Here is a 25,978-nt window from a genome sequence, read left to right as displayed (position 1 = left end):
CCTAAATGAAAATTGCATTGGTATTTGCATCCAAAATACATATGTATGAGCTTACTTTTTATTTTCCTAGAAATAAAATACAGCTATCAGACAGATTCCCTGCTTTTAAGATATTATTAACATAAAAACAATGAACATAAATTTTACCTAGCAACAGTTTGCGCTGGAAATATAGCACTATTCTCTTTAAATTGCTAACTTATGATTACATTGAAAATCTTTATTGTATCAATAAAAATTTTCCATCTGGTATGGAAAAACTAAAACACTCAGTACTAAGCAGATGTCTTTGAACTTAGACTAAATCAATGGCATGAAACTAGCATTTATTGCTATAATCTGGTTATATATGTATAAATATATATATATTAGTCTGGTTGTTTGTGTGTTTATGTATATATTATCCTGTTCTTTTTTTATTTTGATTGAAATTTTTTTTTTTCAGTAATTGGCTTTTGGCCTTTCTAGTATGTCATTAATTCACATTTATATTTAAGAATTCATTTAAAATCTCTCTGATTCCTGGCTGGGCATGGCGGCTCACGCCTGTAATCCCAACACTTTGGGAGGCCAAGGCAGGCGGATCACTTGAGGTGAGGAGTTTAAGACCAGCCTGGCCAACATGGTGAAACCCCACCTCCACTAAAAATACAAAAATTAGCTGGGCACAGTGGTGGGTGCCTAGTCCCAGCTACTTGGGAGGCTGAGACAGGAGAATCTCTTGAACCTGGGAGGCAGAGACTGCAGTGTGCCGAGATGACACCACTGCACTCCAGCTTGGATGACACGGTGAGACTCCATCTCAAAAAAAATAAAATAAGATCTCTCCCATTTCTGATGTTTGTTATTTTGTTATTTTCTTAGAAAAGCACATAGCAAGTTTATATAGTAATAAGATTACTTATAATATGTGTTTCAAAAATGTATTGTGAATTCTCTTTCGTTTGTCTATGAAATAGCAATTAGTTACAAATTATAATACCTAAAAGCCTGGACTGAAAATACACACACACACACACACACACACACACGCACGCACGCACACACACACGCACGCACGCACACATGGAAAACAAAAGCAAACAGCACAAACAGACATTTTCTTTTCCTATTGTAGGTGAATGAACTGGTGCAGGTAGAAACGTACCTCCGCAGTGAAGGTGTGCTGGTGCGATACTGGTATCCTATTGACATGTTGGAAAGGCCCCCAGCAGGCTACCGAAGGACTGCCACCAATGGGCTGGTCACACTGGACAATACCAACCTTCAAATTCACAGGTACAATTGGGCCCTTCTTTCTACTGGGTCACAGAAATCCACCAACTTCGCTCTACCACATGTACCATGTACCATTTATCCTCAGCAAGAAAGTTTTTCCTTCAAAGCTAACACTTAGAGAAGGCAGCTAATAAAGATAACAGCAAAATTGCAGGAGGTGTGAAGAAAAGTCGGGGGATCTAGGGGCCAGGCATGGTAGCTCACGCCTGTAATCCCAGCACTTTGGGAGGCCCAGGTGGGCAGATCACTTGAGGTCACAAGTTCGAGACCAGCCCGGCCAACCTGGTGAAATCGCATCTCTACTAAAAATACAAAAATTAGCCGATCTTGGTGATGGGCACCTGTAATACCAGCTATTCTGGAGGCTAAGGCAGGAGAATCTATTGAACCCGAGAGACGGAGGTTGCGGTGAGCCAAGATTGTGCCACTGCACTCCAACCCGGGTGACAAAGGGAGACTCCGTCTCAAAAAAAAAAAAAAAATGGGGGATCTAGAATCATCTGACTTATGCAACATGCACCCTGCTGTGATTTGGGAGGACTGATGGGTAGCTAGAGATTGACTGACTCATTGAACTTAAGACCACCCAAACGCTGCAATGCAATCTCAACCGGAGACAGCAAGAGGTCTTGCCGTCTAGACAGATAAGCGTATCTGGAGTTCTAGTGAGAGATGAGAGCTGGAGATACACTCAACTTGATTCAAAATTGTCAACATCACAAGAAATCGTGATAGCTAATGGATGAATAGCCATCACATTCCACGGATTGGAAGAGCGTGGAGAAAGTTACGGAGAGTAAAGCAAGTCAAGAAAAGGTAAGAAGATGTCCAGGTACAGTGTAAGCTCCTTTCGCTGTGAAGCCAATCAGGTATTGCTTGAGTGCTTTCTATGTGCCTAGCACTGTGCAGGCTTCCAGAAGAGAAGGTGTTCAAGGCATGTGCCTGCCCTCAGTGGGCTGAAACCTAAAGATCTGGCAAAGCTCCCTCATGTTCACCATTGCCAATTCCCCTGAGAATTATTCCTTTCCATCTTAAAATGTCTTGTAATAATTCAGAGGAAAATATAATAATAAATGGAGTTCTCTAATAAAAATTTCCAGAAACTATTTTTCATGCTGTTCATCCATTAGCCATCACAATTTCTCATGATGTTGACAATTTTGAATCAAGTTGAGTGTATCTCCAGCTCTCATCTCTCACTGGAACTCCAGATATGCTTATCTATCTAGACGGCAAGACCTCTTGAGATAGACCATCTCCACTTGAGATTGCATTGCAGCGTTTGGGTGATCTTAAGTTCAATGAGTCAGTCAAATTCACAAGACCAAAATAGGTCACATATGACTTTCTTAGCTTTACTTAGCGAGATACAGGACAGGAAGTAGGCATACCACAGGGCAATATCACAAATGTTTCTTCAACAGGGGTCCTCACAGTCGTCCACATAGAAGTTCAGGGGCTATTCCCTGACCCTACCTACTGACCCCACCTACATACCTACCCAAGTGTCAACTCAGGTGTGAAGGAGAAATGTCCCACAGCAGGGCTCCTGCGGCCGGCGGCTCAACAGCCCCGTGTCCTAATCCAAGCTGACATCTCTTGTGAATACTCCACAGGCATGGCTTCCAGGGATTCCAGCAAGAGGCATGCCCAGTTACAAGCATCACCATGCTCCAGAAGCCTTGAAGCTGTGGCTTCCCACCAAGAATGTTCTTCTTCACAGTCCTCCCCATTTAGACACAGCTTGCCTGTGAGGGGTCACTAGTATCATAAGCAGTGCCTTGTGATGTTGCCGACATTCTTTGTCAGGTTTTCAGAAGAACTGACTTTAAAACACCTTAACCAAGGGCAGTTCTGAGGTAGACAAGGATAGGGTTTTGTTGACCTTTAACTCACAAATAATCTCATAAGCCCCTAAAGTTTCTCGTGTGAGGTGGAATCTGAATTTTTCCCTGAAATCTCCTCTGCCTCTGGCCTCCCCATATCTGGAAGGGGCACCACAAACCATCCTTTTTCCTCAAGAGAGCTATCAGCAAGTGCCATTGACTGTTCCAAAATATGTCCCCATCTGCACACGTCTCCATTCCTACCTCCACCACGACAGCCCAGGCCTCAACTCTCCTCTCCACAACAGCTGGAGCGATCTTTTAGACACAGAAATCAGCTCTCCCTCCTCTAATGCAGACCTTCCCATGGAGTACATTCAAACCTAACCTGCTTCACAGAACCCCACAGGAGCCTCTGAGCTTGGCAGCCCCTCCTCTGTGGTGCTCACACAGCTAGTGTGTTGCTTCCTTAGGGATGGCCCAGAGCTCCCCCTGGCTGTCTCGTTCTGTAATTCAGATCTCAGTGAATACTCACCTCTTCAAAAAGCTCTGCCCTCACCATCTAAGGTGACTGTCCATGCGCTCTTTGTCAGGAAACTACAGTATTTTAATGCTCTCCCAGGACCTGATGTTTTTACTGCTGTTATTTTGCTTGTTTGTTAAAATTTGTTCTTGTGGGCCGGGTGCGGCGGCTTGCACCTGTAATCCCAGCACTTTGGGAGGCCGAGGTGGGCGGTTCACTTGAGGCCAGGAGTTCAAAACCAGCCTGGCCAACAGGTGAAACCCCATCTCTACTAAAAATACAAAAATTAGCCGGGTCTGGTGGCATGTGCCTATGGTCCCAGCTACTCGGGAGGCTGAAGCATGAGAATCACTTGATCCCAGGAGGCAGAGGTTGCTAGAGTCCCCAGTGCCTAAGCTAGGCCCTGACACACATTGTAGACTCAAAATAGATGCTGAAAAGGGTCCCCAAACATACATGCTTGAATATCAACATGGTATTATTAAAAGCTTTTAAAGCTTTATTTAATAAGTCTTTTGGTCATTTTTTTTAGCAAACAACTTTGATAGATGAAACCTGTTGACTGCTGACTAGCAACTGAGAGAGAAGGCAAGAAAGTCCTTATAGAGTTACAATCAACTTACAAGTGTAGGATGTTTAATCAGTGTTAATGCGGTGGTCCTGGTATTGGAAGACATAGGAAACATGCCATGCAGATCTGTGTGATCATTCGGTGGTTGGATTTCTGGTCCTGGCACAGATTTTCATCAAGATTGTATTCTGTGCTAAAGCACTCACAGTGGTTTTAAAGAAGACTTTGGTTAGCTGGGCTTGGTGGTGCATACCTGTAGTCCTGGCTATTTAAGTGGGAGGCTGAGGTAAGAGCATTGCTTGAGCCTGGGAGTTCAAGGCTGCAGTGAGCCATGATTACCAGTGTCCTCCAACCTGGGCAACAGAGCAAGACCTTGTCTCAAATTTTTTTTTTAATAAATAAAGAGGATTTTGGAAAACAGAGGCTAGAGCAGCAGTGGCTTCAGAGGCATTAGCAGTGTACAGTGTCCAAACCAGGGCTGCAGGTCAGACCCAAAACAAGCTCATAGCCAGGCGCAGTGGCTCACGCCTGTAATCTTAGCACTTTGGGAGGCCAAGGAAGGAAGATCATTTGAGCCCAGGAGTTCAAGACTAGTCTGGGCAACATAGAGAGACCCTGTCTTGGCTGGGCACAGTGGGTCACGCCTATAATCCCAGCACTTTGGGAGGCCGAGGTGGGCAGATCACTTGAGGTGAGGAGTTCGAGACCAGCCTAGCCGACATGGTAAGGCCCCGTCTCTACTAAAAATACAAAAATCAGCCAGGCATGGTGGCACACGCCTGTAATCCCCGCTACTTGGGAGGCCAAGGCAGGAGAATCGCTTGAACCTGGGAGGCGGAGTTTGCAGTGAGCCGAGATCACACCACTGCACTCCAGCCTGAGTGACAAAGCAAGACTCCATCTCAAAAAACAAAAAAAAGAGAGAGAGAGAGACCGTGTCTCTACAAAAATAAGAAAAAATTAGCTAGGAGCAGTGGCGCATGTCTGTAGTCCCAGCTACTCAAGAGGCTAAAGCTGGAAGATTGCTTGAGCCCGGGAGGTCAAGGCTGCAGTGAGCTATGATCACGCCACTGCACTTCAGTTTGGGCAACAGGGCCTGTCTCAAAAAAGCCCAAGAAAACAAAACAAACAGTTCCGTCCCTGGTAACTTTGCCTATAAAGTCTGAGGTGAAAGCCAAGGGGAGAACCGTGGGGTTCTCAGCTTGCCCATTCAGTCCTTACCAATTTTGTTGCCGTGGTCCTCATGTGCTTTGTTAATGCAGTGAACACATGGGCTTCCAAGGAGGGAGGAGACAGGAGAAGTGTGTTTATTGTTCATCCTGGCATGAGAACCACACAGACTGGTGTTGATAAGGAAGAAACCACCTACGATGTAGTTTCTTAGCTGTCTTCTTTTTGTTTATCTTCACTTCACACATACACTCATCAAGTGTTCCATATGGGGTTGTTTCTTTAATTGCCATTACACCTAAATTTGAATTATGATACACCAGCATTAAATTTAATTAGGGTCAGTAGGAATATCAAATGACCCCCGTGGGTTCAGAGTGAGTTTGGGGCCTAGGTTTTTGTGTTTTAGAAACAGAGTCTTGCTCTGTCACCCAGGCTGGAGTGCAGTGGCACAGTCATAGCCCACTGTGGCCTCCAACTACTGGGCTCAGCAGTCCTCCCACCTCAGCCTCCCAAGTAGCTGAGACTACAGGGCGATTTCTATTTTTTGTAGAGAGGGATTCTCACTATGTTCCCCAGGCTGGTCTCAAACTCCTGACCTCAAGTAATCCTCCTGCTTTGGCCTCCCAAAGTGCTAGAATTACAGGTGTAAGCCATTGCGCCTGGCCCATAAGACGTGCTTAGGCACTAATGAGCTATTATTCAAGTTGAATGCCGATCACTTTACTAATTCATCACATAAAAAAATGCCCACGATGGTATTTTTATAATAGCTGTATTGAGATATAATTTACATACCATGCAATTCACCCATTTAAAGTACACAAGTCAGTGGTTTTTATTATATTCACAAAGTTGTCCAACCATTACCACAATCAATTTTAGAACATTTTCATCACCCCAAAAGAAACCCCATATCCATAGCAGTTACTTCCCATCCTCCTTTCCCACCAACTCCTGACAACCACCAATCTATTTTCTGTTTCTATGCATTTTCCTCTGGACAATTTACAGAAATGGAATCCAATATGTGGCCCTTTGTATCTGGTGTCTTTCACTGAGAACATGATGTTTCAAGGTTTATTCCCATTGTGGCGTATGTCAGTCTTTGATCTGTTTGATGGCTGAAAAATACCCCATTGTATAGACTTACCATTGAGTTAATGGACACTTGAGTTCTTATCACTATTTGGCTATTAGGAATAATGCTACTATGAACATACATGTACAAATTTTTGTGCGGACATGTATTTTTATTTTTTTCCCTACAGTGCTTTTTTGAGCTGGGAAAAATCAAACGTAACAATATAACTTAATGTGACTTTTGTTTAAAACTCAAGTGACTCCTTTAGGGTTTGGAACATCAGGCTGGAAGAGAAGCCTGAGGCAGGATCCTTTTCCTTCAGAACCTGCGGCCTGGTCCCGGTATGGGGGCCGGAGCATCAGGGCTTTGAGTATCTCACCCACCTTTTCCCTTGCAGGGAGCTGCTGCGCTGCGAGGCTGCGCTGGCCAGGCTGTACTGCCGCATGGCCCTGCTCAATATCTTCGCCCCGAAGTTGCCTCACTTGTTCACTCGCCTCTTCCACATCCCTGCCATCCGGGACATTACCCTGGAGCACCTGCAACTGCTGTCCAATCAGCTCCTCGCACCTCCTCTCCCAGGTAAAACTTGGCTTTGCTGCTGTCACTCTGGAACTTAGCACCAGGCGGGCGCTGTGCACAGTGTAGTCATTCCCTGCATGAGGGCGAGAAATGCCTCATGGTGCGCATAGGCTCACGTGAGAAATTGCACGCAGGAACTGGGATTCTCCTGGCAGGGCTTTCTCACTCTTCGAAAAATGTAATGGATTACTCACTTGAGTCATTACTCTGTTAAGCATTCATCAAGTTTCCCAACGTAATTGTGGATCAAGGAAAATTAAGTATTACTTATGAAACCAAGTCACTGTATTGTTGCCACAGACATTCTATTTGACATTAGAAAGAAAGGAGATGTTCCTGTCATCAGCGTCCTCCAAAGCAGACCTATTTGGTTCATCATAAGTTCTGCTGAGGCTGTTCCAAAGGCCAGCCTGTGTGCCCTTGGCATGAGGGCTGTGTCTGATCCCCAGTGAATGCCAGGTGATGAGTCTGCCCTCAGCACTATCCAGGACTCAGGGGCCCTTTCTGTCTTCCCCTGGCATCTCAGCCTCCAGCCTGCCGCCTCGATCTCCCAGCAACTAAGATGGGAACAAGAAGTGAGGCAGGCAGGGGACACCCCTCAAAGCTCACTTGCAGATAGCAATCTAGGCTCAGTCAGCATCCTGGGTAGCTGCCCTCCAGCTCACAACTGTGGGGTCCCACCCAGCCAGGGTATGTGTGCACTACATCGCTACTGGTCCATATGAGCGCCTGGGGTCCACAGCCCATCCCAAGAACTTAGATGCCCTGAAATATACCTGGAAAGCATCAAATGTGGTGGCAGAAGCTTTGCCCTGATGATCTAACAAGTTTCTCTACAGGCTGTGCCCTAAGGTACCCTGCGGGGGTGGGCCAGAGTAGTCAGACAGGTCAGGCTCTGGGAACCCCTGGATCCAAGCAGCCCCATTTGATATATTTCGTAGACCTGGGCCTCTGTGTAGATTTTATTTTAGGCAACAGTTTCACAGCTGAAAAGAAAGCAAAAGTATGAAGCCCATTGATCTCCTGGGTCCCCCTCCACCATCCTGGTGCAGAGGATCTGATTGCCGGCATCTGTTATCCAGGACATCATATCCAGGATAACCCTCCCATCTGGGGTTTCTGGATGGGTTATTCATTTTCTGTTACTTAGACTCTCACAGCTACTGGCTGCTTTGATTCTTGTCAACTTCTGTTTCCTTTCCGTCCCCAGACGGCACCATCAGCTCCAGCTCGATCCTCCTGGCGCAGTCTTTACAGCATTGCATCCATTCCCAGAACTGCTCCGCCACGGACCTCTTTTACCAGGGCAACTCCCAGACAGTGAGAGAGTGGCTCAACGTGGCCATCACCCGGACCCTGCACCAGGGCGAGGAGAGCCTTTTAGAGCTGACGAAACAGATCTGCTCTTTCCTGCAGGTAGAAGTCTAAAGCTCATGTTCCTGCAGTGTGGTTACCATTTTTAACTGGGAGTCTCACTGGCTTGCTGAAAATGACTCCCCTTTCCCTTCCAAGTCCCTATTCCTCTCGATTTCCTTTTCCTAGAAGCTTTTCTGCTTTATCTCATCTGTAGCTTGCTTCCTTCCAGAGGGCTATTTAGTCGTTTGGCTGATTTCCTGGGCCATGTGAGATGAGAAGATGAAATGCTGTCCCTGTGTTTAGCCCGTGGCTTTCCTTATTCAGTGTCTCTTTGCAGACAGCACCAGAGCAGTTCCCCTCCGAAGAGTTCCCAATTTCCGAATCCAAAGTCAACATGGACGTGAATTTCCCCGGGGCAGCTTTTGTTGTTGTGTCTTGTAAAGAAAGTCAATCTGGATTCCGCAAAGAGTAAGTTGCCTGTTCTCAAGAAGATGGTGATGGGGAGAGGAAAGCTAAATGAATTCTGGTGAAACTGGCCAAGGAAAAAAATTCAAATCACTGATTCTTTAATGCAAATGACTTACAATTCTCTCCATATTTCTATGTTTGGGGAATTAGTCTATAAAGAATGACCTTCCAAAGTGTGGTGGAAATGACTTGGGCCCAGTTCTCATCTAACGTCCCCTGGTGAGAAGGCAAAGCTGCCTGTCCCCATGTGCATGGCTAGACCCTGTATTAACACCCACCCATCCCTCCTTCTCAGCTCCTCTCTGTACAAGGCACCGTGGGCACGGGTGCTCGTATATGGCCTCGGCCACAAAGTGAAGCGAAATGGCCAGCTGAACCTCATCGAGGCCGCCTGTTACCCGCGGGACGCGTCCCCAGCCAACACTGGGCTTGCACCTCCCCCCACCGCTGACCAGTACCCCTCTGTGGTCCTCTCCACAGACAGGGTCCACATCAAACTGGGTGAGTCTCCAGCAGCTTGTCATGATGAGAACAGCTGGAGTCATTCTCCTCTTGCCTTCTTTTTGAAGCTATAATGAATTTTGTACCTTGCATGTTCCAGTTCCTATTGATAAAGAATAGGACTTCTGGGGACTTCTGGAAGAAACTGCTGCTTCTTTTAGAGGCAGTAAATTAAAAGACTTATCTTTCCTACCTAGGGAAGGCCTGACAGATGCTGTCCAGACTACAGTGGAGATTTCCTTTCTTTTCACAAGTATGTGCTGAGATGTGTCTGTTTAGAATGATACAACCAGAGCAATCACATCCTTACAGCTGGCTCAGGCTATGATAATCCCAGTTGCCATTCCTTGAATTCTCATTAACCAAATTCTCAACATGGCTCCCCAGGGCACTGGCCACTGTGAGAGTCTGCTCCTCAACTAACTGGAAGCTCGATTGCTCTCATCTCCTGGGCATTTTTTTGAAGCCTCCATCGTTTTAGAGTTAGATGAGGGCTCTGCCTCCACATGCCCTGAAACTGTCACTGCCTGTCCTCTGTATGCACCAGGGCCTGCTGGCTCTGTGTCTGAGTATGCACAGAAAAGAAAGGAAATCCTCATCACAGGCCTCCACTGCTCCTCCTTGGCATGCTTGACAGGAAAAGACTGACGCGTGTTTGCCAGAGACAGAAAACATGTGAACTTTTAGCCAAAATAACAGGCCTGGGCTTCTCCACACCCCAGTCCTTGAGACAATGCATCTTAGGGAATGAAATGAAAGAACATTTCTTCAGTGATTTGGTCATTGCTAAACAACTTTATGGTCTTTTTTATTAGAGTCTGTTTTTCATAGTATTTTTCCTATACTAGCTGTTTTTTAAACTTTACATTTAAAACAGAGGATCTCTGTCATTCCACAATTATCACTATGTAAACATTCACCCCAGAGTATACAAGCCAATATGGTTTGCTTCTGACTTGTCCAAAGCCCTCTGATGCCCTGGCTTCTGTCTGACTGGTGTTTATAGAGGGGCTTCAGGGGCAGTGCAGGATGTGAGGGGGATCAAGCCTTGGACCTTCTTCCTCTCACTGTAGACAGCTTTGGTCACACGTAGGCCATGGCAGTGACAAAAGGTGATAAGATAATCAAAACCCAAGGTGCCAGTAGTCTTAAGTCTTGGGGACCCCTTGCTGGTCCACTGTAATAAGCATAATGGTCTTAGTGGGATTGCAGCCATACCAAAGGACTGATTATTTCTTTACCAAGCTGGGAATATCCCAGTGAGGCATCTTTTAAAGTGTTACTTACTTTCCCCATTCTGGTTGGTATCTAACTGAATGACAAGTGTGTGTCCTCTGTTCTCATCTCCGTTCTTTGTCCCATTTGCCAAATCCACCCCAGTAAGCGGACTCCCTGGAGGGATGGCCTCCATCTCCTCGTGTCCCTGCAGCCCACTGTCCAGAGTGTCAGGAGTTATGTGTCCTCCTGCTGGAGCAGATGAGTGGGTGGGCTCTCCAGCCCTGTTTCTACATGCACACCTGGCAGGACCTTTTGTGAGGCTTATTTGGGTCAGGTGCTGCCAATCATCTGCTTTCTTCCTGGGTGCTTCTTGCAGGGGTGTCTCCACCTCCTGGAGCAGTCCTGGTGTTACATTCCCTGCCCCTGGAGTTCCCACTGGCTATGGCCTTCGCAGAGCAGCTGCTGTCCTGGAAATCAGAGGACAGTGAAGGGAAGTCCGAAGATGAGCCTGACACCATTCCGACATCCGTCCTCCTGCAGGTGGTGGAGCTGCTAGGTGAGGCTGCCTTCCCTGGGGATCGGAATCTAGGGTGGGGGTGGAGCTGGCATGGTGCCTGAGGAAGGAGCTTGCCAGGTGGTGTAGGGAGTGGCCACAGGTAGCCCAGGCAGCTGCAGCCTCCTTCAGATTGCTGTCATTTGAAGTGGGCTTGGGGAATAGATCTTAAGGTACAACCTAGACTCCCAAATCCATGATTTGCTGGGTATTTTCATTATTTTGAGGATTGGAAACTAACCAGGAAAATAAGATTAACTTTATCCACTTTACTTTAAAACAGAAGTATATGCCATTATTGTAACTTTAGGGGTGAAGGGTGGTGTGGAAATGAACAATGTTGCAAAATCAAAGGTTATAACTGCATAGTTCCTCAAAGGGTCAAAAAGGTTGCAAAACTCATGGAATGATAAATGTAAAAGTTGTGCATTTTACCATATGCAAATTTACCTAAACAAATTCTAAATAAATATTAAACTTTAATGATATGCCTCCTTAAGTGTTTAGGGATGAAGCATACTGATGTCTACAACTTATTTTGAAATAATCAAAAACTAAGATGGGTTTGTGGATGAATAGAGGAGTAGACAGATATGTAGTAGAGGAAATACAGCAACATGTTTATGGTGGAATCTAGCTGGTAAGTGCACAGGTGTTTACTGTATAATTTCTTCAGGCTTTCTATATTTTTGAATTTTTCCATAATGTTGCAGGGAAGAAAACATTGCACACTCGGGCCAGACGCAGTGGCTCACGCCTGTAATCCCAGCACTTTGGGAGGCCAAGGCGGGTTGATCACCTGAGGTCAGGAGTATGGAGACCAGCCTGACCAACATGATGAAACCCTGTCTCTACTAAATACAAAAAATTGGCCGGGCATGGTGGTGCATGCCTGTAGTCCCAGCTACTCAGGAGGCTGAGGCAGGAGGATCGCTTGAACCCAGGAGGCGGAGGTTGCAGTGAGCCAAGATTGCGCCATTGCACTCCAGCCTGGGCAACAAGAGCGAAACTCCATCTCAAAAAAACAGAAAACACTGCACACTCGGATGCCTTCAGTGCCTTCAGGGTTCAAACAGATCAGCTAAATGAGGGAAATAAAGAGGAAAGTTGGCAGGGGGACTTTGGTGAGCTGGAGGCACAGAGGACACGTGCCCTGTCATCCACTGCTGCAGGAGAACATGGCCCTGCTTCTGCCAGAACCGTAATTTCTTTCTTTTTTTTTTTTTTTTTTTTTTTTTGAGACGGAGTCTCGCTCTGTCGCCCAGTCTGGAGTGCAGTAGCGCCATCTTAGCTCACTGCAAGTCCGCCTCCCGGGTTCATGCCATTCTCCTGCCTCAGCCTCCAGAGTAGCTAGGACCACAGGCGCCCACCACCACGCCTGGCCAATTTTTTGTATTTTTAGTAGAGACAGGGTTTCACCATGTTAGCCAGGATAGTCTCGATCTCCTGACCTCGTGATCCACCCGCCTCGGCCTCCCAAAGTGCTGGGATTACAGACATCAGCCACTGCGCCCGGCCTGGAACCGTAATTTCTTATTTCAAGAAAATCCAGGAATCCAAATGTTGATGTGAATTTCTCAATTTTTAAATGTTGGCAACCAAGTCAAATGCTTTCATACACCCTAGGAGGGCCAAGCGCAGTGTGGTTCACACCTATGATCCAGCACTTTGAGAGGCTGAGGCAAGAGGATCACTTGAGTTCAGGATATGGAGCAACATAGCCAGACCCTTTCTCTGCAAAAAATAAAAAACACCCAGGGAGTGGATAGGGGGGACGTAAGCAGAGAACACTGTCTGAGAATAAGTTTCAGCGCATAGGCCGTCATGTGCAATTTTGGTGAAGAATTCTCTCCAAGGTCGTCTTACATGAATGCTAAATGGTAGAGCAAGGACAACGGAGGTGACATGAATAGTTCTGGCATCTGAGGGCCTAGCCCTGTGCCCCAGCAGAGAGGGGAGCAAGGACACCTGTCCTCTGTGGAGGTTCTATGAGAGCCCATGTTCCAGGACAGTCACAAACTTGTTTCCAACCAGAATTCGCAAGCAGTGTCAGTCCTGAGAGAGCAGGAAGCTTGATCCCCTCTTTGGTAGGTGCTGGACTTAGTAAGTCAGCTTCAGCAGGCCCTTGGGATTCCCCCGGCCAGTAATCTTTTATCCTGTACAAGAGCCATCTGGATGTAGCAAACTGCAGTTCACTCTTTTGCAGGGTAAGGGCTCAGCTGGCTCAGTGGGACACAGGCTTTAGATGTTCATGATCCCTAATCGTGTCTCACGTACATGAGCTTTCTCTCTTTCCACTCAGATCCAGGGTACATGACTATGTGAATGTAAGATATGCCTCTGGTATGAAGGAGACCTTGGCACAAACGTGTGGTCCATCTTGTGGTTCTAGACAGTGTTTCCCAAACTTCAGTCATTATCATGCCACCATTATATGATTGTTTCCATGTCCACAAATTGTGCCTGTCAGCATTTATTTACTTACTTATTTTATTTTTTTGAAATGTAGTCTCACTCTGTCACCCAGGCTGGAGCGCAGTGGTGCGATCTCAGCTCACTGCAACTTCCACCTCCTGGGTTCAAGTGATTCTCCTGCCCCAGCCTCCTGAGTAGTTGGGAATACAGGCGCCCGCTACCATGCCCAGCTAATTTTTTTGTATTTTTAGTAGAAACAGGATTTCACCATGTTAGCCAGGCTGGTCTCAGTCTCCTGACCTCAGGTGACCCACCTGCCTTGGCCTCCCATAGTACTGGGATTACAGGCATGAACCACTGAGCCCAGCCAGCATGCATATATTTAACAGTTTTTATTGCAATCAACTCCTCCTTTTTTAAAACTTAAATTTAGTTTTAAGGAAACCTTGGCTGGGCACAGTGGCTCATGCCTGTAATCCCAGCACTTTGGGAGGCCAAGGCGGGCGGATCACGAGGTCAGGAGATCAAGACCATCCTGGCTAACACAGTGAAACCGTGTCTCTACTAAAAATACAAAAAATTAGCCGGGTGTGATAGCGGGCGCCTGTGGTCCCAGCTACTTGGGAGGCTGAGGCAAGAGAATGGTGTGAACCCAGGAGGCGGAGCTTACAGTGAGCCGAGATGGCACCACGGCACTCCAGCCTGGGCGACAGAGTGGGACTCCGTCTCAAAAAAAAAAAAAAAAAAAAAAGGAAAGGAAACCTTTACATCACTTCTTTAAATACAAAATTAGTATCCATTGGCATAACTAACAGGTACCCATAAAAATAAATACAGGCCGGGCCTGGTGTCTCACGCCTGTAATCCCAGCACTTTGGGAGGCTGAGGCAAAAGGATGGCTTGAGCCCAGGAGTTCAAGACCAGCCAGGACAACACAATGAGACCCTGTCTCAATCAATCAATCAGTCCATCTATCCATCCATTCATACATACATACATTCAAAGAAAATAGTTGCCGTCACAAAAATCTAGCTGAATGCTGTTCCCTGTCAAAGGCTCTGGGACTCTGGCCCACTTTCTCTTAAGGCTATGCCAGCCGGCCAGGCGCAGTGGCTCACACCTATAATCCCAGCACTTTGGGAGGCTGTGGGCAGATCACCTGAGGTCGGGAGTTCGAGACCAGCCTGACCAACACGGAGGAACCCTGTCTCTACAAAAAATACAAAATTAGCCGGGTGTGGTGGTGCATGCCTGTAATCCAAGCTACTCGGGAGGCTGAGGCAGGAGAATTGCTTGAACCTGGGAGGCGGAGGTTGCGGTGAGCCAAGATCACGCCATTGCACTCCAGCCTGGGCAACAAGAGCGAAACTCCATCTCAAAAAAACAAAAAAGAATATGCCAGCCTTGGCCAGGTACAGTGGCTCACATCTGTAATCCCAGCACTTTGGGAGGCTGAGGCACACGGACCACTTGAGGCCAGAAGTTCAAGACCGGCCTGGCCAACATGACGATACCCCATCTCTGCTAAAAATATAAAAATTAGCTGGGTGTGGTGGCACATGCCTGTAATTCAAGTTATTCTGGACACTGAAGCATGAGAATTGCTTGAACCTGGGAGGCGGAGGTTGCAGTGAGCTGAGATCGCGCCACTGCACTCCAGCCTGGGTGATAAGAGACAGACTCTGTCTCAATTTAAAAAAAAAAAAAAAAAGCAGCTTAAAAAATTACTAAAGAAGGTCGGGCACAGTGGCTCATGCCTGTAATCCCAGTACTTTGGGAGACTGAGGCGGGTGGATCACGAGGTAGGTCAGGAGTTCAAGACCAGCCTGGCCAAGATGGTGAAACCCCATCTCTACTAAAAATACAAAAATTAACTGGGCATGCTGGTAGGAGCCTGTAATCCCAGCTATGCGGGAGGCTGAGGCAGAGAATTGCTTGAACCCAGGAGTCAGAGGTTGCAGTGAGCTGAGATCACGCCACTGCACTCCAGCCTGGGTACCAGAGTAAGACTCACTCTCAAAAAAAAAAAAAATTATTAAAAAAATAATTAAAAAAAAAAAAAAAAAAGAATATGCCAGCCTCATGGCCAGGCACAATGGCACACACCTGTAAACCCAGCACTTTGGGAGGCTGAGGTGGGAGGATTGCTTGAGCCCAGGAGTTCTAGACCAGCCTGGGCAACATGGCAAAACCATGAAAACTGTCTCTGCAAAAGAAAAATAATAATACAAAAATTAGCTGGGCATGGTCTCACACTCCTGTAATCCCAGCTACTCAGGAGGCTGAGGTATCACTTGAGCCTAGGAGCAACAGTGAGCTATGATTGTGCCACTGCACTTCAGCCTGGGTGACAGAGCAAGACCCTGTCTCAAAAAAGAAAAATAAAATAAATAATGCCACCCTCAAAGTAAGGCTTTCTTGTTGGCAAAAATCAGGACTAAAAGAGGAGTTTAAAAGGAACAGTGTTTCAGTGTGTGTTTCAGTGCTGTTTGGTAAAATTGGCTTGTGTGCCCCATAGTAAGCATCCAGTACTTTGGGAAACATTATTCTAGGGACTTATCACCAACATGCTGCATAACCTTTTGAGACAAAATATGATGGTGTTTTGCTGGCACCCTGCCATTGGGCACAAGGGTCAAAGCCGTCACCTCTGGAGCTGACCTGTCAGCTCTGAATCTTAGCTCTCTTGTCTGGTAGCTGTTGTGCCTTCCAGCCAGGCCTCCACCTCCCAACCTCTGTTTCTCCATCTGTAAGAAGGGACTGAATTGCGCAGTCAGTGTTCACAGGGTTGTTATGAGGGTTGATTCCAGGCTCAGAACTGCGCCTGGAACATAGCCAGTGCTGCATAGTAATTACTGTTACTATTTTCATTTGCCTCAGGAAACTTCTTGTGGACCACGGACATGGCAGCCTGCGTGAAGGAGCTTGTTTTCCATCTCCTGGCAGAGCTCCTGCGCACGGTGCACACCCTGGAGCAGAGGCGGCACCCCGCTGGCCTGTCCTCCTCAATCGCCCTCCAGCTGAACCCCTGCCTGGCCATGCTGATGGCCTTGCAGTCGGAGCTCCACAAGCTGTACGACGAGGAGACGCAGAACTGGGTCTCAGGCGGCGCCTGCGGGGGCTCCGGGGGGGCGGCGGCCGGTGACCAGGGCAGGTTCTCTACGTATTTTCATGCACTCATGGAAGGGTGCCTGGCTGTGGCCGAAGTGACCCTGCCTACTAACATGAGTGTCACAGCCAGTGGGGTGACCTCAGCGACCGCCCCAAATCTCAGTGACTCGTCCTCCTCCTCCTCGTCCTCCCCAGGACAGACCCCACAGAGTCCCAGCCTCCTCTCCAAGAGGAAAAAAGTCAAGATGAAGCGGGAAAAGGCCTCCTCGTCGGGCAAGCGCCAGTCTTCCCGCACCGTGGACTCGGACCCCACCGTGCTCAGCATCGGAGGCAGCAAGCCCGAGGACATGCTGTGGTTCCACCGCGCACTCACCCTGCTCATCATCCTCCGCCACCTCACCAGGAAGGACCCACAGGGGCTGGGCGTGACGAGTGACGCCATCGCCGATGCCTGCCAGGCCCTGGTGGGCCCCACCGCCCACAGCCGCTTGCTGGTGATCTCCGGGATCCCCACCCACCTGGACGAGGGCGTAGTCAGAGGCGCCATCCGCAAGGCCTGCAACGCCCACGGCGGGGTCTTCAAAGACGAGATCTACATCCCGCTGCAGGAAGAAGACACCAAGAAGCCAAAAGACAAGGCCGAGGGCGGGGACGGGAAAGTTGAGCCCGAGAAGACACTGGCCTTCCCCGGCACAGACAGCATGGAGGTCAGCACGTCCAGCAGCCTGACCCCCGCCATGAGCATCAGCGCCTCCGCCTCCACCAGCCAGGCCTCCATCTGCAGCTCGCAGGGCATCTCCCAAACCGTCAGCGACCTCTCTGTGGATCCGCTGCCTGCCGGCCTCGAGCTGCCCATCCCTCCGGGCCTGTTGGAGCCCCACGCGGTGTCCAGCCAGGAAAGCCTGGACATTTCCCTGTGCAGCACCGGCAGCCTGGGCAGCCTGGGCAGCCTGGGGGAGCCCCTGGACAATGCAGAGACGGCCTCGGTGTCGGACATGGGCTCCATGTACACAGTCACTTCCCTGGACAACCAGCCCCTCGCCGCCCGCCCCATCAAAGGCTTCGCAGTCGTGGAGGTAACAGCTTTCAAGCCTCTGCAACCACTAAATCATGACCCATTTCAATCCCCCAAGCCTCTTTAAATCTTCCAAAGTTATTTCCTAGTAGGTAATGGTGGAGCGGTTGGGGGCTCCCTGGGGCAGCCCTTGGAATGAGCACAGTGAGGCTGCTTGGGGTAACGTCTCTGAGTGACACCAAGTCCCATATCACGAAGTAAAGGGGAGCCAGAGGGCTCAGGGCCTGGCCTTCCGCGGTGGGTGGGCGCCATCAGTGCATTCTGACTCAGCCCCATCGCATCTTGAATGGCCTTGGGTTCTTTTTGTTCTTTTTGGTGTTGCCATTGGCAGGAGGGATGGTCACTGAGCAGCATGAGAATAGACTCCTGCCATTCTGTCCCAGGTGATTCTGAGTTTCAGATGACCTGCATGCTAGTGAGTCATAGTTCCACTTCAGGATCCCATGTATTCCTTAGGCCTCGCCGTTTAGAAATCCTGCATCAGAGCCTTTCTGTGCTTTTGCATAACAGTAAGGTAGGGAACTGACATGCATTACTCTCCCAGCAGGCTCTGCAAGGAGGGTTGAAGGATCAAGCAGCTGGTTTCTTTCCTAGAATCACTTCTTTGAATCCATCATCCTCCTTCATGGGGACTTCCTCAGAGTTAGGCATGAATTTTTCCTCCCTGGGAATCAGAGTAAAGCCACAGACCTGGCTGGGGTTTAGTGACAGAGATTTCAGGTTGAGTCATTTGCTAAAAGTCACTGTTGTTGGCCTGTGGGAGAAAGTTTCCCAGGAGGTCCAGCTCACCAGAGTAGGGCAGCTTTCACATCTCTGCAGATGAATAGAGGGTTTCCAGGAAAAGGTGGGAGGGAGAAGTTCACTCACACTGAATGACTGGTCAAGCTACTCAAATCCTGACCCTGTTCTCTGTTCACACAGATAAGATCCCGAGCCAAAATTGAGAAAATTCGAGCAAGTTTATTTAACAATAATGACTTGATTGGTTTGTCAAGTTTGGATGGTGAAGATGAATTGATGGAAATGTCAACAGAAGAGATTCTAACCGTGTCTGTAGTAAATCAGAGTCTCTTTGATACTCAAGGGAGCCCAGGGTTAGAAGATTATTTCAATGATAAGTCAATTAAAGGTGGGTTCTGGATTTGTTTTTAATCTGTAGACTTTTTGTGGAGCAATTTTAGGCTCACAGAAAAAAATCTGCATTAAAATCTCCTCCCCTCCCCAGTATCCCCTATTTTTAACATCTTGCATTAAAGAGAAATTTGGCAGCTACTCCTGGGTTGCAGATTTTGAAAACAATTCAGAGAGTGTTGGTGAGATGGCACAAGAGGCTCCATTGTTTGTCAGTGGGGGCTGGTTATGTGCATCTTTGTATGATGTGAAAAGAAATGTTCCCCCTTCTCCCAGCTGTCAGGGCGCTGAAGGCCGTGGGGGCAGCCCCTGCCACAGGCCTGCCGCGTTCCAGCTGGAGAGGCTACCAGGGGTGGCTTTGCGCCGCCTGCAACAGGCTTGAATGTGGGCTTGTATTCAAGTCATTTTTTCCTTTTTGTCTAGCCAGCCTTCCCCTGGTTCAAGTGCAGTGTATTTATTTTGTTCTGTCCTGTGCAGCTAGAACATTGCTGGTAATTATTTCATCATATGCTTGAGGACAGCTCATGCGTCCCCCTTGTAAACTGACTCCTGGGAAAGAAACAGTTCCGTCCCTTTTTTCTCCGAAGTCCCATTTTCCAGCCCTTTTGCCATTCTGGTGGCTCTTTTGTGGAGCAAATTCTGCTTCCCCACTAATTTCTTTTTTTTTTTTTTAATTCCTCTTTTTTTCCTTTTTTAATTCATTTTTTCTTTTTAAAATTCTTTTCTTTAAAAAAAATTATTTTATTTATTATTTGTACAGAGAGGGTCTTCCTATGTTGCCCGGGCTGGTCTCAAACTCCTAGGCTCAAGCAGTCCTCCAGCCTCGGCCTCCCAAAGTGTTAGGACTATAGGCGTGAGTCATCACACTGGCCTTAATGTAATTCTTTAATGTTTGAAATTTCATCTTAGAGTTGCTATGTTGTTCTATGTTTTTGAAGTATAAAATTGTAATCTTTTTTTTTTTAAGACAGAGTCTCGCTCTGTCACCCGGGCTGGAGTGCAGTGGTACAATCTCAGCTCACTGCAACTTCCACCTCCTGGGTTCAAGCAATTCTCCCTGCCTCAGCCTCCCCAGTAGCTGGGATTACAGGTGCACGCCGCCATACCCAGCTAATTTTTGTATTTTTAGTAGAGACGGGGTTTCACCATGTTGGCCAGGCTGGTCTCGAACTCCTGACCTCAGGTGATTTGCCCGCCTTGGCCTCCCAAAGTGCTGGGATTACAGGTGTGAACCACTGCGCCCAGCCAAAACATGTAATATTGAGTAGAGGTTTTGTTGTTTTAAATTATTACCCCAGGCCGGGCACGGTGGCTCATGCCTGTAATCCCAGCACTTTGGAAAGCCAAGGCAGATGGATTGCTTGAGCCCAGGAGTTTGAGACCAGCCTGGTCAGCATAGTGAGACCTCGTCTCTACAAAAAATGAAATAAGCTGGGCGTGGTGGCGTATGCCTGTAGTCCCAGCTACTCAGGAGGCTAAGGTGGGAAGATCACTTGAGCCCAGGAGTCGAAGGCTGCAGTGAGCTGAGATCACGCCACTGCACTCCAACCTGGGTGACCCCATCTTTAAAAAAAAACATGGTTACCCCAATCATGAAATCTGGAAATGTTCCCTCAGAGGTAGGATCAGGGTGAGGTAAGTGAGATCTTGGGTACACAATTTAATGGGGCTCCAAAAAACTCAGTCAGTAAGAGAAATAATATTGTAGTATAGTTTTTTTAAAGTCAAAATTAAAGTATCCATGATCAGCAAAGTGTTAAAATTTTAAATAAAGATAGGATTAGCATTACTGATCTTTTTCTCTTCCTCAGGCTCTGATATGGGTCAGCACAGCACTGTAAATATTTTGTTCATCATGGAGGTTTTTTTACGTTAATTTTTTTTTTTTTGAGATGGAGTCTCACTCTGTCACCCAGGCTGGAGTGCAGTGGTGCGATCTCAGCTCACTGCAACCTCCACCTCCCGGGTTCAAGCAGTGGAGGCTGGACTCGAACTCCTGACCTCAGGTAATCCTGCGGAGGCCTGCCTCGGCCTCCCAAAGTGCTGGGACTACAAGCGTGAGCCACCGTGCCCAATTTTTTTTTTTTTTTAGCTGACAAGTGCTACTAAATAATTTTGACTGATTAAAATACTGCAGTAAAGTATTGTTTATCTTGATGACTGAGGTTTTTGGCGTTTTCTTAAATCTTGCCTGGCATTGAGCAAAGACCTCGGTGGGCTCACCCTGGTCCCAGCCTTGTCCCACATTGGCGTGCGTTTTGCCCCCTCAGCTCTCAGCTGCCCCCAAAGTCGATGTCAGGTCTGCTTAACAGGAAGCCTGAGGTCTTTCTGCCATGATTATCTTTCCCAGTCTTCTCATACTTAGATACTGAATTTTAGTTCTAGTTCCTGTTTCTTTTACAGTCAAACTTTCCACATATGGTACCTGGTCTTTTGGTACTGCATGGATCTGCCTCATGGTGCTAGGTACACTCCTCATGTGAGGGTTGTTTCCTTTTTTTTGTTGTTGTTGTTTTTTTTTTTTTAAACAGTCTCACTCTGTCACCCAGGCTGGAATGCAGTGGTACCATATCGGCTCACTGCAACCTCCACCTCCTGGTTTCAAGTGATTCTCATGCCTTAGCCTCCTGAGTAGCTGAGAAGACAGGCACACGCCACCACACCTGGCTAATTTTTGTATTTTGCTTCACCATATTGCCCAGGCTGGTCTTGAACTCCTTACCTCATGTGACCCACCTGCCTCAGCCTTCCAAAGTGCTGGGATTACAGGTGTGAGCTACCGCACCTGGCCTCATGTGAAGGTTTTTAACTTGTGACTCTGCTGAGTCAGCTGAGGTCTCAGCCTCTCTCTTCCACACACCTGCCTCTCCCACCCTCAGCCCAGATATGCTGGAGTTGCCACAGCTGGGCCTGGCCTAGGCCAGACTCCCCAGGAGAGGGAGCAGTCCAGAGGGAATGAGGGGCCTGGGCTGCTGGGAGAACGGAGTGATTCCTAAGAGCATGCAGATGGGTTCATGACTGGCCCTTAGGAAAGGTGAGAGCACCTTCTGGAGTGCTTGTTTGGGGACAAAAAAATATTTTTTCTGGTGCTTATAGACAGTTTTTTTGTATCTCAGAAAACTCTTTTTCACCTGCTCATTGCGCCAGTTTTGAAGAATATTTCCTATGAATGAGATCACCTGTTTAACAAGTTGTACTTCCCACTAAAAATACTTGCTGGCTATCTATCCTCTGGGATTATTCTAGACTAAACTGCTATGATAAATAGCCCCAGGAGGACAATGGCTCAAGTCCAGTGGAAGTTAATTCCCTGCAGATATAAGAGTGAGGGTGAGCACTGAGGTGTGCCCACCCTCGGGGAGGGGCCTGTCGTCCCCGAGCAACCAGGTAGGGGCCAAGTGCAGAGGACAGCAGCCTGGTCCCCATGTGGCTCACATCCCACAGTGACCACGGTTGCAGGGCCGCACCTTACGGCAAGGAAGGCTGGGCATGTGCTGGGCTGTGCCCAGGGAGGGAGCCAGGCTTTGGTGGGCAGCTCTTCCTTCCACTAATGTCCATCCACTGCCCCTTTCAAACAGTGTTTGGAAACAGAATGCTCGCAGGGCTTGTCCCGATGCATGTTCACGGCAGAATTGTTTTGCCCCCTCTCCATCCAACAGGGGAGAAGCTGGTGCCCGGAGCCAGAGAGGTTCTGACGGAGATATTTAAGAGTTGTGCCCATTCAGAGCAGACGCTGAGCCTGACACCAGCGAAGCCCATCAGAGTCTCTGACATTTATCTTAGCAAAGAGCAGATCAACTCCCAGACCCCAGGCAACCTCCTCCACCTCTTCTTCACCAATGTCCGGCCGCCAAAAAAGGTGCTGGAGGATCAGCTCACCCAGGTAGCTGCCCGTCCCCACCATACCCAGGCCGGGCCTTGGGTGCCCTGCAGGGCGAACCTGAGAGCCTCCCCGCTGCCTCTGTGCTCCACAGATCCTGAGGAAGTATGGCGTGCCAAAGCCCAAGTTTGACAAGAGCAAGTACAGCAAGGCCGGGAAGGAGCAGCACCCCGTGAAGGTGGTGAGCACCAAGCGGCCTATCACCAAGCCGCCCGCCAAGGACAAGGCTGTGCTCAACAGCGTCAGGTGCGTGCCCCAAGGAGCCTGGGCAGCCCAGCCTGTGGGCAGATGTGGGGGAGGCCTCCGAGCAGGAGCCTGAGGGGCGGCAGCTCCTCTGGAGGAGCCTGGTGTCAGGCCTTTTTTGTCATGCTTTGTCGCCCAGGCTGGAGTGCAGCGGCCCGATCACAGCTCACTGCAGCCGGGCTCAAGCGATCCTCCCACCTCAGCCTCCTGAGTATCTGGGACTACAGGCACATGACACCTCACCTGACTAATTTTTTAAAATTTTCTGTAGAGATGGGGTTTCACCATGTTGGCCAGGCTGGTCTTCAACTCCTAGGCTCAAGCGATCAGCCTGCACTGGCCTCCCACAGTGCCGAGGTTACAGGCGGGAGCCACTGTGCCCGGTGGGTGTCTGGGCCCTTTCTGCTGAGCTCCTTTCTCAGTCCTCAGCTCCATCAGGTGAACATCAGAGTTTCATTTTATCCACAAGTGTGGTCAGATTCTGACCATGAAGGCTGGAAAGCCGACCCATCTAAATGAAGACAACATTTAAAATGTTCTATATTTTCTTTAATCCTACTTCTTTTAGTCACACAAATAATGCATAGTTATTGTAGAAAGATTAGAAAATGCATAACGCCTTAAGCCCGGGAGTTCAAGACCAGCCTGGGCAACATGGCAAAACACCATCTCTACAAAACAATATAAAAATTAGCTGACTGTGGTGGCATGCACCTGTGGTCCCAGCTACTCAAGAAGCTACTCAAGAAGCTGAGGCAGGAGGATGGCTTGAGCCCCAGAGGTCGAGGCTGCAGTGAGCCATGATCACACCACTGCACTGGTGACAGAACGAGACCCTATCTCAAAAAAAAGAAAAAGAAAATGCATAGTGCCTATTGGAAAAAATTGAATTGCCCCTTGCATAGCAACTACTTTTAAGTACATGACCTTTGATTTATGCCTATATATTATTTTCATAAGTTTTGAATGACCAAAATAGTACAAGATTCAAAAGCAGATGCAGTGAAAAGCCACTCTTCCTCCGGACCATTCTTAAGCCTTGAAGCTCCCCTCCCTGAGCCTGCAAGGTTACTTCTGTAGCTTTTGGGAAGAACCCTTTCTATAAATACAGAAGCAATTCTATACATATGCCCAGTGTTGGGTACCATACACAATGTCCATACCTTGCCATTTTTATTTAATACTAATTTTGGAAATCATTTCAGACCAGTACAAAAAGAATTCCCCATTCCTTTTTTAAAAAATAGCCTCATAGGCCGGGCGCGGTGGCTCACGCCTATAATCCCAGCACTTTGGGAGGCCGAGATGGGCGGTTCACAAGGTCAGGAGATCGAGACCATCCTGGCTAACACGGTGAAACCTCGTCTCTACCAAAAATACAAAAAAATTAGCCGGGCGTGGTGGCGAGTGCCTGTAGTCCCAGCTACTTGGGAGGCTGAGACAGGAGAATGGCGTGAGCCCGGGAGGCGGAGCTTGCAGTGAGCCGAGGTCACGCCACTGCACTCCAGCCTTGGCAACAGAGCAAGACTCTGTCTCAAAAAAAAAAAAAAAAAAAATAGCCTCATAACATTCCATGTATGGATATGCATATAAATTTAATAGAATATTCTTTAGATACGGGTCTGTGACTCTCGAGTACACAGAGATGAAACCTTGATAGCAAAATATTACCCAGCAAGAATCTCTAGAGGAATTGTTTAACCAGAAAAATAAAGGTTTTTAAAAGTTAATTCATTATGTAGAAATGGTGTTTCTCAATCAGCACTGTCCCATAGTACTTTTCTGTGCTGGTGGAAATCAGTGCTGTATCTATATCCGTGCTGGTGGGTACAGCAGCCCCTAACCACAACTGGCTATGGGGCATTTGCAGTGTGGCAAGGGTGAACAGGAACTGAATTTGTGATTATATTTCATTTTAATTAACCTTAGGTAGCTACATCTGGCTAGCAGCTACCTTATTGAACAGTGTAGCTCTAAAATATGTAGAAAGAGTGTTTGAAAAGAGTCTCTACAAGATTTTTCATGTTTTAAGGCACGGATATGTCCTTGTAATTTGCTCAGTGAACTTTTCTCACTCAGAACAAAGGCGGTCTTGAACGCCCCCGCCCTATCTGAGCCCTAAGCCCTAAGTTGGAGGAGGGAGCAGGAATGAATGACTATGAGGCTGTGTATTTCCTATCGGGAGGAGGTGTGAACGTGCATTAGTCTAATTCCAGTGCTTTGGTCTACAGCAGGACTGCCTTAAGTGAGAAGAAGCCAACTGTGAAGCCAAAATCACCAGAAAAGAGCAAACCAGATGAAAAGGACCCAGAAAAGTCACCTACCAAAAAACAAGAAGGTGAATGAGCAGACGGGGCCTGGAGTGGGCTGGGACCTACTTCCATCCTGGAGACTAGGCACCCCCCGAGGAGCAGGCCTCTGCTTTTCCTGACTGGCCACTCCTACTGGGATGGCCTCTGCTCTGGGCTCTGGGTTCCCTGGGGTATCAGGCAGGACAGCATTTCCAGAGATTCTGGGAAATATTCCTGGCCAGGGATCGCCCCTCGATGCCATCTTTGATGACCATGAACTTGAGGAAGTAAAATAGCAGTTCCAGAAACACCGCATGCCCAGGATAAAGAACAGATGATTGTGACCGAAAAGTGAAGCTTGGGAAATCTGCATGGACGCTTTGTTCTAGAAGGCACTGGCCTAAGCTAGCGGCCTGTGCTGGGGCAATAGAATGCAAGCCTCCAGAAAGGCCCAGGCAGCATTGGAGAAAGCTATTCTTGTTGTCTGGAAAATTGCTTTGTCAGTCGGGGATGTTTTAGAGATTCATAGAAAGAGGGGATGTGGGAAACTGCAGCCTGTTGAGGGAGACAGAGCCCTCAGGGGCCTGGGCACATGAGGGCTTATGAGTATCCTGTGCGCAGTGGGTCACAATGGCAAATGACAATTCCCAGAGTTACGGGAGGGAGAGGGGAATTAGATGGGTTGGGCCGTAGGGGAGAGGCTGT

The 25,978-nt window shown here is 47.9% G+C and overlaps 1 protein-coding gene across 2 annotated transcripts in view, besides 6 other annotated features; it reads left to right on the top strand.

Moving 5' to 3' along the window:
• The window catches only part of HECTD4 (HECT domain E3 ubiquitin protein ligase 4), a 222,237-nt gene that overhangs the window by 180,516 nt on the left and 15,743 nt on the right, over window positions 1–25,978 (top strand). For both annotated transcript variants that reach the window (NM_001388303.1, NM_001109662.4), the window contains exons 55-65: window positions 1,118–1,278; window positions 6,850–7,031; window positions 8,242–8,447; window positions 8,725–8,855; window positions 9,151–9,356; window positions 10,951–11,130; window positions 16,423–17,729; window positions 18,650–18,857; window positions 22,519–22,742; window positions 22,834–22,985; window positions 25,214–25,320. In NM_001388303.1, coding sequence (NP_001375232.1) covers window positions 1,118–1,278; window positions 6,850–7,031; window positions 8,242–8,447; window positions 8,725–8,855; window positions 9,151–9,356; window positions 10,951–11,130; window positions 16,423–17,729; window positions 18,650–18,857; window positions 22,519–22,742; window positions 22,834–22,985; window positions 25,214–25,320 — 3,064 coding nt within the window. The remainder of the gene's footprint in view (window positions 1–1,117; window positions 1,279–6,849; window positions 7,032–8,241; window positions 8,448–8,724; window positions 8,856–9,150; window positions 9,357–10,950; window positions 11,131–16,422; window positions 17,730–18,649; window positions 18,858–22,518; window positions 22,743–22,833; window positions 22,986–25,213; window positions 25,321–25,978) is intronic.
• Window positions 8,730–9,229: an enhancer, noted in NCBI's record as "H3K4me1 hESC enhancer chr12:112630491-112630990 (GRCh37/hg19 assembly coordinates)". NCBI's record gives its function as "activates a minimal SCP1, AML or CMV promoter by ChIP-STARR-seq in primed H9 embryonic stem cells {active_cell/tissue: H9 hESC(primed)}" and the evidence as "EXISTENCE:reporter gene assay evidence [ECO:0000049][PMID:30033119]".
• Window positions 16,784–17,353: an enhancer, noted in NCBI's record as "H3K27ac-H3K4me1 hESC enhancer chr12:112622367-112622936 (GRCh37/hg19 assembly coordinates)". NCBI's record gives its function as "activates a minimal SCP1, AML or CMV promoter by ChIP-STARR-seq in primed H9 embryonic stem cells {active_cell/tissue: H9 hESC(primed)}" and the evidence as "EXISTENCE:reporter gene assay evidence [ECO:0000049][PMID:30033119]".
• Window positions 17,354–17,922: an enhancer, noted in NCBI's record as "NANOG-H3K27ac-H3K4me1 hESC enhancer chr12:112621798-112622366 (GRCh37/hg19 assembly coordinates)". NCBI's record gives its function as "activates a minimal SCP1, AML or CMV promoter by ChIP-STARR-seq in primed H9 embryonic stem cells {active_cell/tissue: H9 hESC(primed)}" and the evidence as "EXISTENCE:reporter gene assay evidence [ECO:0000049][PMID:30033119]".
• Window positions 18,377–18,671: a silencer, noted in NCBI's record as "tiled region #5198; K562 Repressive DNase matched - State 9:DNaseU". NCBI's record gives its function as "represses a minimal TATA promoter and a strong SV40 promoter by Sharpr-MPRA in K562 cells {active_cell/tissue: K562}" and the evidence as "EXISTENCE:reporter gene assay evidence [ECO:0000049][PMID:27701403]".
• Window positions 21,900–22,399: an enhancer, noted in NCBI's record as "H3K4me1 hESC enhancer chr12:112617321-112617820 (GRCh37/hg19 assembly coordinates)". NCBI's record gives its function as "activates a minimal SCP1, AML or CMV promoter by ChIP-STARR-seq in naive H9 embryonic stem cells {active_cell/tissue: H9 hESC(naive)}" and the evidence as "EXISTENCE:reporter gene assay evidence [ECO:0000049][PMID:30033119]".
• Window positions 22,400–22,901: an enhancer, noted in NCBI's record as "H3K4me1 hESC enhancer chr12:112616819-112617320 (GRCh37/hg19 assembly coordinates)". NCBI's record gives its function as "activates a minimal SCP1, AML or CMV promoter by ChIP-STARR-seq in naive H9 embryonic stem cells {active_cell/tissue: H9 hESC(naive)}" and the evidence as "EXISTENCE:reporter gene assay evidence [ECO:0000049][PMID:30033119]".

This window comes from Homo sapiens, chromosome 12 (assembly GCF_000001405.40).
Source record: "Homo sapiens chromosome 12, GRCh38.p14 Primary Assembly".
Classification (NCBI taxonomy): domain Eukaryota; kingdom Metazoa; phylum Chordata; class Mammalia; order Primates; family Hominidae; genus Homo; species Homo sapiens.
Note: the sequence above shows the minus strand (reverse complement) of the source record. Positions and strands in the feature narration are given on the sequence as shown.